General features: G+C 42.5%; 1 protein-coding gene across 6 annotated transcripts in view; it reads left to right on the forward strand.

The window, feature by feature from the left end:
- Positions 1 to 11,309, forward strand: part of PELI2 (pellino E3 ubiquitin protein ligase family member 2) — a 183,114-nt gene that overhangs the window by 51,644 nt on the left and 120,161 nt on the right. For 5 of the 6 annotated variants that reach the window (XM_011536990.3, NM_021255.3, XM_005267890.6 and 2 more), the window contains one exon: positions 8,281 to 8,410. Coding sequence is in view for 3 of the 6 variants with exons in the window: in NM_021255.3 (NP_067078.1) it covers positions 8,281 to 8,410 (130 nt within the window). In the remaining 3 variants the exon portion in view is untranslated. Of the gene's footprint in view, positions 1 to 3,353; positions 6,105 to 8,280; positions 8,411 to 11,309 lie in introns of those variants that run through there. The other variant, XM_017021478.2, reaches the window with a different exon arrangement.

Below are 11,309 nucleotides of genomic sequence, written 5' to 3' on the forward strand. Positions count from 1 at the left end.
CCTTTGAGTCTGTCTGTCTCTAGTGTCACGTCCTGTTCATCTGCAGTGTACAGTCTACTTTGATCATAGTAGTTGCTTGTGATTTGTTGGTGCAAGTGACAGAGCAGTTGCTTTGGAAGGAAGGCGGAGTCTTCAGCCTGTAATGAAGAGCTGACCACCTCTGGAATGTGATCCTGTGATGCTGATGCAACCTCCACTTCTGGAGCCCACATCGCTTCCATTCCATGTGGATGTCGCTGTAAGAGTTCAGGCTAGTTAAGATAAACCGTGACGTCTCCAAAATGTGACTGGGAGCACCTAGCATCCCCCTTCTTGCTCTGGTTTCCCTTAGAAAATTCTTATTGACAAATACATTTTTAGGTGGCAGACATCTTTTTAAGACTCCATCTTTGCACTGTATGCCAAAAAATGTCTTGAATTTAAAAACTGTCAGTGTTGTCTACTGGAAAGAGTATGAAATTTGGAGTCAGACAGAACTGATGTAGCTTTAGGTTCTGCCTGACATTTCCTAACTGTGTAAGTTCGTGTGTGATCAGCCATTCTGAGCCTTTTATCTGTCCACTAGGAGTAATAATGTCTCCTTCACAGGGTTTCTTGGCACATAGTAAGTGTACAGCAAATGTTATTAATTCCCATTAATATGTGAATTAATATATGAACTCTAAACTATAAAACAGAAAAACCCTTTATTACTTGGTTAAGTTTCTTACACAGCATTTTCATTATTCTTTGCAGCTCCCAAATACCCTTACTGTAAAGACCAACTGTTTGCTCTGCATATATGAAGAGTTAAATTTTCATCACACATTTATTAAATAACTGTTTTTAAGTCTCCAGAATAAAAAAGAAAGTTAAGCCTGAAAGGCTCTTATGGGCTCGAATTGAAACACCCCTGTTGCAGCAGCTGAAACAGGTGTGGCAGCAGCACTCGGACATTTTATTTCTACAAACTTACTGGCTGAAAAGCGTGCCAGCCCAGGGAACGTTCTGACCTTCTTTCATGGGACAGTAACTTTTTGCCTTTGTAAGCAGAATTTTGTCTTTATGACTGGGCTCTATTCTACTATACAAAAGATGGTTGCTATGGTTTGAATGTGCCCCTCAAAGTTCATGTGTTGGAAACTTAATCCCCAATGCAACAGTGTTGAGAGGCGGGACCTATAAGAGGTGATTAGGTCATGACGGCTCCACCCTTGTAAATGATTAATGGTGTTATATCAGGAATGGGTTCCTGATAAAAGGATGAGTTCAATTTCTTGCTCTCTCTGGTACACATGCTCTCTTACCCTTCCACCATGGGATGAAACATCTAGGGAGGCCAAGCAGGCCTCTCCAGATGCAGGCTCTCTGACCTTGGACGTCCCAGTCTTTAGAACTGTAAGAAAGAAATCTCTGTTCTTTATAAATTACTGAGTCTCAGGTATTCTGTTATAGCAGCACAAAACATACTAAGATAATGGTCCTCTCATCAGCCAGCCAGCTTGTAGGTTTTCATTGCCTACCGTGTGTCCCTGTTACACTGTGCCAGGTGCCAGAGATACAGAAGGCCTCACTTTTTTAGAACTCACATTCCCTAGGAGGCAGATGGGCCAGATGGGGGGTGTGAATAGGCAGGGGAAGATTTGGTGATAGTTTTCAGGAGGAGGTGACAGTGTTCCACTTAAAATAGATTGGGGACCAGCTGGGCACAGTGGCTCATGCCTGTAATCCCAGCACTTTGGGAGGCTGAGGTGGGCGGATCACTTGAGGTCAGGAGTTCGAAACCAGCCTGGCCAATATGGCGAAACCCTGTCTCTGCTAAAAATACCCAAAATAGCTGGGCATGGTGGTGTGCACCTGTCGTCCCTGTTACTCGGGAGGCTGAGGCATGAGGATCACTTGAACTCGAGAGGCGGAGGTTGTCGTGAGCCAGGATCATGCCACTGCACTCCAGCCTGGGTGACAGAGGAGACTCCATCTCAAAAAAAAAGAAAAAGAAAAAAAGATTGGCAGGGAGAGGATGACTGTGGGAAGGGTTTGGGGCTTCCTGTTCCAGGAATCTATTACTGTGTAACCACCTACCCCAAACTTAGTGGCTTAAAACATGTTACTTAATGCACAATTCTGTGGGTCAGGAGTTTGGGCAGTTCTGCCCCATATGGTATCAGCTGAGGTTACCTGGTGGTCATCAGCTGGTCTGGAGTGTCCATGATGGCTTCACTCATGTCTGCTGCCTTAGCGGGGTGGCTGGAAGGGTGGGCTCTGCTGGGACCGCTGAGCAGAGTGCCTACATGTGGCCTGCCCAGCATGGTGGTCCCAGGGTAGTCGGCTTTTCACACTGGCCTTTGGAAGTCTCAGAACATCACTTCCTTTGCATGTTGTTAGTAAGCAAACCACTAGAGCCAGCCCAGATTTAGGGAGAGGGGAGTTAGACTCCACCTCTTAGTGGGAGAAGAAGCCCTCTTTAATCTGCCACACTGGGTTCCTTGATAGGAGAGCGGCTGGGAGACTCTTAAGGAGGGGAGGTTGGTTGGTGTGCCGGCTGTATGATGAATGATCAAATGTACTTTTGGATCTGGGGGCAAAGATTGAATGATAGTGGACTGAAAAGCCAGCAAGTATTGGAAGCAGAATAATGGGTGTGGGTACTTTTCAAGATTCTTGGCTTTGTGAGGAGACAATGGAAATCAGAGTGGAGGCTCATAGTGAAGCTTAGGGTTGGAGGCATTTGCTTGTTTTTGCTTTGTTTTGAAGATGGGTGAGATCACCAATGACTCATTCTTTTCCAAATCGTGGTTGTGCATTTTCTTTCTCTTAACTGACCTCTTAACTGATTAGACACTGTTGAAATTCTTTGGTCTTTGGCGATATAACTTTTTCCTGGTCCTGGTCCTTATGCTTGTGACAAAGAAAGGGCTGTTTCCTTAAATAGTTGAATTTCCCAGGCTCTGTCCCAGCTTTCCTTGCCTCCTTATTCTGCACCTTTTTCTTGAGTAGCCTATATTATTCTCATGACTTTAACTGCCCCTGCATGGTGAAGGCCCCAGGGTTATAATTTCTCTGGAGCTCCAGACCTAACTTCAGTTGCCTCCTCCATGCCTCCCCCCGGATGTCCCTGTAATTCCTGTTCCTAACAATGCTGTCACTCTGGCCAGGCCAGAAGGCTGTATGTTGTTCCCTTTATCCCTCACCCTGTGCATCCAAACGGGTTACCAGTTACTGTGAATTTTGTCTTTAAAACCAGGGTTCTTACCTGTGGCTGCATCACTTGGGGAGCTTTGCAAAAATGCAGACCTGGAGCCTCATCTCAGGCTTATTGAACCAGACTCTCTTGGGTTTTAGGCATTCATATTTTTGTAAGGTTTTTTTTTTTCCAGGTGATTCTGATGTTCACTTTGTATTGAAAACAACTCTAAAATTTTTCTCTAATCCTCCAGTTCATCTCCACCATCGCTGCTTTGGTTCAGGCTTTTATAGTTTCCTGTGGCTGCCATAACACATTACCACAAACTTGGTAACAACAACAGATGTTCATTCTCTTACAGTTCTAGAGGCCACAAGTCTGAAATCAAGGTGTCGGCAGGGCCCTGCTGCCCCTGAAGGCTCTTAAGGGGAGAATCTTTCCTTGCCTCTTCCAGCTTCTGGGGCTCCAAATGTTCCTTGGCTTGTGGTTGCATCACCCCAGTCTCTGCCTCCATCACATGGTCGTCTCCTCTCTATCCCTGTGTACCTCCTACAAAATCACTTGCCATTGGATTTAGGACCTATCGACCTAACAGTAATCGAGGATGATCTCATCTTGAGATCCTGGGCTTAATTACATCTGCAAACACCGCTTTTCCAAAAGGTCACATTCACAAGTGACATGGATGTATCTTTTTCTTTTGAGACTGAGTCTTGCTCTGTCGCCCAGGCTGGAGTACAGTGGTACGATCTCGGCCCACTGAAACCTCTGCTTCCTGGGTTCAAGTGATTCTCCTGCCTCAGCCTCTCAAGTAGCTGGGATTACAGGCATGTGCTATCATGCCCAGCTAATTTTTTGTATTTTAAGTAGAGACAGGGTTTCACCACGTTGGCCAGGCTGGTTTCGAACTCCTGACCTCAAGTGATCCACCCGCCTCGGCCTCCCAAAGTGCCGGGATTACAGGCATGAGCCATCATGCCCAGCCTTGGATTTATCTTTTTAAGGCCACCATTCAATCCACTGTACATAGATCCCCATGGCTATGGTGCTGCTGCTGTCTGATCATCTTGCCTCTAATCTGGTCTGGTCTTGCCTCTAATTTCTTCCAGTTCCTCCTGCACTGTGCCACCCTATGTGATTACTTTATATTTCCAGTCATGTTAGCCATTTGCTTAAATCTTACCAGACTTTTCATTCCCCTTAGGGTAAAAAGCCATAACCCTTAGGGAGTACCAGTGATAGGGTTTAGCTCTGTGTCCCCACCCAAATCTCATCTTGAATTGTGATTCCTGTGTGTCAGAGGAGGGGCCTGGCAGGAGGCGATTGGATGGCGGGGTGGGGGTTGGATTTCCCCCTTGCTGTTCTCGTGATAGTGAATGAGTTCTCACAAGATCTGATGGTTTAAAAGTGTGTGTCACTTTCCCCTTCTCGAGCTTTCTCTCTCCTGTTGCCGTGAGAAGAAGGTGATTGTTTCCCCTTTGGCTTCTGTCATGATTGTAAGTTTCTTGAGGCTTCCCAGTCGAGCTTCTTGTTAAGCCTGTGGAACTTTTGAGTCAGTTAAACCTCTTTTCTTCACAGGTAGTTCTTTACAGCAGTGTGAGAATGGACTAATACAACCAGGACGTTACAGTCGGGCTCCTGCCTACCTTTTACCCTCCTTTCCCACTACTCTCTCCACTTGAACTTCATACTCTCCACAGTGCTGAACTGTGTAGTCCTCCTTGCCTTGCACATTATATCACCCCTTCATTCTCCATTTAGACTTCTTACTTAGATTTCTTTTTCTTTCTTTTCTTTTTTGACAGTCTTGCTTTGTCACCCAGGCTGGAGTACAGTGGCATGATCTTGGCTCACTGTAGTCTCCACTTTCCTGGCTCAAGTGATCTTCCCACCTCAGCCGCCCGAGTAGCCGTGACTACAGGTGCATGCCACCACACCAGGCTAATTTTCGTATTTTTTGTAGAGGTGGGGTTTTGACACATTGCCCAGGCTGGTCTCGAACTCCTGGGCTCAAGCTGTCTACCTGCCTCGGCCTCCCAAAGTGCTGGAATTACAGGCATGAGCCAACGTGCCTGGCCAAGATTTCGACAGTTCAAGCAGTGCTTCCACCATGAAGCCTTCTCTAATGCGTCCTGCCATGTGCCTTGTGCTATAAGTGCATCTTGTTACATGTGTATTTATCATATTTGTTATTGTGCCTTTCTCTCCTTCTGAGCAGAGAGCTCTGTGAAGGCAGGGAAGCTGATATACACCATTGTAGCTCTAGTACTTGGCATTATGAATATTGAATGAATGACCATGTAGCTTAACCTAATTAGAAACTTGTCTCATGGTGACACTGGTTTTTCCAGTGCTACTTTAATTATTTCCAATAGGATTTTTCATCTAGATGTATTAAGTAAGTAGGCAGTCTGTAAGTAGGCTGGCTTATTATTTGCTTAACCTGCAATATCTGTGCCTCTATGCTTAGGCAATTTAAATTAAAATGTTTCTGCATGTGTTAAGGTTGACACTTCTGGTTTTTTTCCCTCCCTTTATATTAGATATGACTTTTGGGTTGTAACTCGTGGAAATCAAATTGAGTTAGCTGAAGCTGAAGGAATTTTGTCAAGAATGGCTGGAGTACATCTGGGCCAATAGAAACCCTTAAGGATCCTCTTTCCATTGCTTTTTGTGCTTGTCTCTGTTCTGCTTCCTTCTTCACTTTGTCTGCTTTTTCAGCCATATAACACTTTATGACATCCCCACAGCTCCTGTGTTTACATTTTACAGCTCTAGCCAGCAACTGAGAATGGATGACTATCTCTCTGTCCCAATTTTGTATTTTCCAAAACTAGAATGTTATTGGCCAGGTTGAGTCAGATGTCAGCCTCTGGCCAGTCAGCCCCAGAGTGGTGGGGAAGATGTTGGCATGGCCATTTCATTCAAACGTGGTGCTGGGGTTCAACTTTTGGAGTTAAGGAATAGATGCCAGAGAAGGAGGTATAGTTGTGATCAGATAGCCAAACAAGCGTCTGCTGCACTCTTACGAGGCTGAGGCCTATTGACCTGGAGTCTATAGTTGAGGCAAGAAAGATGCAGCGCAGAGTTGTGCCAAACCCCTCTCAACTCCAGTGGGGATGGCACCAGATTCAAGAGGCTGAAGAAGAGACTCAGAGCCAGCAGATGAGACATGGAGTTTTGTTGGTGGCTTACATACAGGGGAGAAAGCCAGTGGCGGTGGGTTGAGCGGGAGAACCACAACTGCATATAAAAGGCATGCAGTTAACATAGCATTTTCATTTAACATGCTCCCCCTAACTGCCACCTGCGAACCTTCACTTGACCAAAGCAAAGGGCCGTGATATCCTGGAGAGCCTGCGTTCCATGGGACTGGATGGGCACTCAGATGTTCCTCATAGATAAGGAATGACTCTCTGGTTTGGCCACTCTTGGATACCGTAGCTTGGAACTCTGAACACACATTCAAGTGCATCTACCATACAGGGTCATTCTCAATCACATTATTGCTGTCAAGTGCACCTGCCATACACACAGAGCTGGGTAGAAGTGAAGGGCATACATAGCAAGCCTTGCCAGATCTTGTACTAATTGTGTGTAGGCTACAGTAGTGAAAATGTTCCTCTAAGTTGTTTACAATCCTGGCTGTAATTGGTTCACATATGCTTCCTTTAATATAGAGTGTTCATCTTGATTTAAGTGACATGGAAATATATTAAAACAAAACGGGTTTGTAATGGTTGTTGACTCATGGATACTTTATAGTAGTCATCACAAACACGTTTAAGAAAATAGTGTACATGATTCTGATCTGCCTGAGAAAAACTAGAGGAATAAGACTTGAAATAAATTATCTTTTTATTCTGGAGACATTTTTATATAGCTGACATTCCTTTGTGCTGGAAATGGAAACATTAAAAAGACAATGGGAATAACTTACAGTGATAATTTGAAACCATTGTCAGACTGTGACGCTGACTTGACTGGTGAAACAAACACACAAAGCCCCTTTCTTCCAACTTCTGTTTCCCAGTGGGCTTCACAAGTTCTTGCTTCCCCTGTCCGGCCACTCCCTTCTGGGTGTAGCTGGAAAAGTGGAGAAGGCCCAGGGATCTGTGGGACAGGAACAAGCCACCAGGCCTGCTGTCTCCTAACCTTGGTGTTCTGGGGGAGCCTTGGAGCTGTCATACATACCTCTGTAAATTTTAAATGTTCCTTGTTTTAGTTTTTTATTTTTTTTCTTGAAAAGAACTTCCGCCAAGGTGGAAGCAGAGAATAGTTGTGTTAATGTAGCAATATGGGTCATCAGTAAGAACATACAAGGGCCGATTAATCCAGAGTTAGAAAATACAACTGAAAATTGAAATGCTAACTGTGATCCTGCATGTCTTTTAAGCACTGGTATTAGCTAAATACAGGAAACCTGCTTAAGGACATTATATGTTTTCCAGATGACTTCTAAGTTATTTGACAATTTGTGGACTAAAACTCATGTGTATATTTTTGCAAGCTAATTTTTGCTAACAAAAATATATTTAATTTCTGCAAGCTGTCTTTTGCTAATCTGACAGCGTAGGGTTCAAACAGAAATGAGAGTGAATGTGGAGGATTCTGAACTTTTAAGAAAGCAAGTAACTAAATTGGTTGTCTTACAAATAAAGATCCTGCAGACAACATTAACATGGTTTGAAAGTGAGAGATGAGGTTTAATTAGTATGCTATTTTCTAACTAGTTCATTTAAAAATATTTCTCAAGTGTATCTCTGGGGTCTATTAGAATGGTGCTAGTTGAATTGAGCCAGCCCTAATACAGCCTCTGCAGAATACTCATTTGCTTATTTATACTCTGCCTCTTTCCAAAAAGATTTGAAGACTCTGACTTTATAAAATAGGAAACCTATAATTACTTGTACATCACTCTTAAATTAAGTTCCTAGAAGTGATTTGAATTTCATTACAGCTGAAGTCTGTATTGCAACCCTTTCCTTTTGTGGAGTGTTTAGTGGGCAATTCTTTTATGACCATTCCTGTCTTTTCCCTTATTCAATACCTCTAACTTTTATGTTTAAAGCTTGAAAAATCTGCAGATAGATGAACTCTTTCCTCTCTGTTTCTAGGTACAATGGTGCTTTACCCAATGGAGATAGAGGACGGAGGAAAAGTAGATTTGCCCTCTACAAGCGGCCCAAGGCAAATGGTGTCAAACCCAGCACCGTCCATGTGATATCCACGCCCCAGGCATCCAAGGTAGGTGGGTCTGTCAAGAGTTGGGAGGGTGCTGGCAAACAGTGACTCACAGATACTCCTTGTCCGCTGCTCTCTTTCCTTTCGTCTTTTCATGTAGGACAGTCTCTCAGACCATTTGAGGCTGGATAATGCTTTGTTGTGAGGGGCTGTGCTGTGCATTGTAGGGTGTTTAGCAGCTTCCCTGGCCTTCACCCGCTAAGTGCCAGTAGCACCCCCGCATTCTTGCTCCCCACAGTTGTTAATCACTAAAAATGTCTCAAGACATTGCAGCCCGTCTCCTGGGGAGGGCTGGGCAGGTAAAATCTGTCCTATTAGGAAGCACTGCTTTAGTATACCAAAGCAGCTAGCATTTATTGATTTGGAATAGATGTAGTTGAAATGTGATGTTCTTTATCCTAAAGAGTTTTTGTTTTAAATCTGGGTATAAACCTCATGATTTATTTTCCTTCTGTTAATTGAGTGTAGTAGGTGGTTTTACATAATCTGTATGTACATGGAATTGAATTTGTGTGGCTCATAGAAGGATGAAAAGTATACACGACCAAGTGATAAAAGAGGCCGACTATACATATTTTTTTCTCATAATTTTGAAGTGAATAAAATGCTAATTAAAAAAAACTGGTTATTTGTTTTCTGATCTATAAGTCGAGGAAAAAATCTGAGTTTTTATTCCAATTGATATATGTTACATAGTCGATTTATTACAGTGTTTCTTTAATTAAATAAATTCCTTAATATATAGTCTTATTTTCTATAAAATATATTTACATGAAGCATTTCATACGGGGCTACTGGCTGTACCTGTTGATCATGAGTTTGGACCACCTGGCATATAAATGAGAGTCTTGATTTCCATTTTTCCTGAAAACCCACTTTTGGAAGAAAAAGGAATGGCTTCATGGAAGCATGTGTGATATTTATATGCAATGTAAACATAGATCACCTTTGTTAATGTTTTTATTTTTAAAAAGCTCCTATTTCTGAAGCAGTGCCATTGAAAGAATTTGTTAGGAGGTGCCAATTGAAGCGATCTTGTATTAATGAGGGATGAGTAGATAAGAAAATATCAAACACCACGGAAACAAGAAAGATTAATATTTAGTAGATAAGCCAAAGCTAGAAAAAGAGAAATAAACTAAACATTTTTAGGTGGAAAGAACATTTTATGAGGAAAACAAAGGAAATCCAACTTTACGAAGATTCTGAGGAAAGGAAGAGGTAAAATAACAACAGAATCTTAAGAGGTCAAGGAAGTAGGAGAAACATTTTATACTCCAAAAATATGTGGTGAAGAACGATACCAAAACAGATGTTTTTAAGCATGTGATGAGCACCAGAAATGTTCTGGTATTTAGATGTGGTCCTTATAATTTTGTCTATTTGTTGACATTTCTTTTGTTTCCTTCCTCTTTTTTAAAATCTTGGGTTCGTGTTAATACAATGGCTGACATTTTAAAAAATGTATAGAAATATTGCTTTGATTACTCATGCTTCATGTTGTGATAGAATGAAAATTTGCAACTGTTGAGAGAAAAGTATCTCTTCTTTAATCTTTAGCCACTGCCATCTCCTCCCATTTTAGCCTTTTATGTTTTACTTTTATACCTAGATTTTACTTCCAAGTTATTTAGATTATTAATCTTTTGATAATTGTCATCTAAGTCTGTGTTTAAAAATATTACCCACAGTACTAAAAGTAGGGCAGATTGGGTTTAGGTCTTGACCCTCTGTATTTTATAATCTGGGAAAAATATATTCTCAGGGCCTCAGTTTACTCATTAGAAACTGAGTAAATTGGCTTCAAGCAGGAGCTCTGTTGAATTAGAAAATATACTTTGTTCATAACAATAGAAATTATTCTGGCTAAGATAAAACAGACAAAAGTAAGATAAATTATTATAGGCTAGCCCTCAGAATCAGAGAAAAGTTGAGTAACCAGGTTTTGAGAGAGAGGAGAACTGGAGTATCAACAACAGTGCACATGGATATTTTTTCAAGAGTGTTAGATAGTGACTTTCCTCCAACCAACTTCTATCTCTTTTAAAGGTTTACATTTTCAAGAGAGAGACTCTGATAGGTCTCCCCTGGGTCACCGAACTATGACCAAGGGAGATGGGCAAACTAAGAGCAGACATATTTATTGTGAGCAGATCAACCACACCATGTTGCCTTTCAGACTCTCAAACTCTCGTCCCGGCCAGCTGTACCCGGCCACTCCTGCTGCTTGGTTTGCTCTGTTGGCACCTTCTACCTTGGCGCCCCCCATCTACCTCTTCCGCCCCTTACTCCTGCTCCCTCTCAAACTCTCATCCCTGCCAGCTGTGCCAGGCCACTGCTGCTGCTGGGTCTGCTCTGTTGGCACCTTCTACCTTGGAGCTCCAGCCAGTTGTGAACTCAGCCCTTTACATATTTAACCTTTTCTTCAGATACCCCTCCCACTTCCTGGCTTTAACTGAATCTGATTTTCAATGAATGCACTCTTTTGTTATTTTTTCCATCTTATGTTTGTGGAACATATTTCAGTGACTCGGTACCTACCCCCGAGTCTCTTTCTCCCTGACTCCGTAGCATCTATAGCTTGTAGTACTTTAACTCTTTCAGTTTCTTTGCCACTTTTCCCACTGATATGGTGCTCCTTACAGCCCATTTTCACTTGGAAATGAGAATTATCTCCAGTTCATTCTATTTTTGGATATACTTCCTTATCTCTTATCAAGATATCCAACCCATTAGCCTGTCTCTGTTTGCCACGGTTATTGGCCCACTTGGCCTCTCCAGGTATATCTTAATTCCACTCCAGATTCTCTTTCTCTGGGCTCTATGGATATCCTTCTTCCTGTGTCTCTGGCTCTGGGCCCTTCCTGACCCTGGTGGACTTTTTTTTTTTTTTTTTTTTTTG

The sequence above is a fragment of the Homo sapiens genome, chromosome 14 (assembly GCF_000001405.40).
Source record: "Homo sapiens chromosome 14, GRCh38.p14 Primary Assembly".
In the NCBI taxonomy this organism is placed as follows: Eukaryota; Metazoa; Chordata; class Mammalia; order Primates; family Hominidae; genus Homo; species Homo sapiens.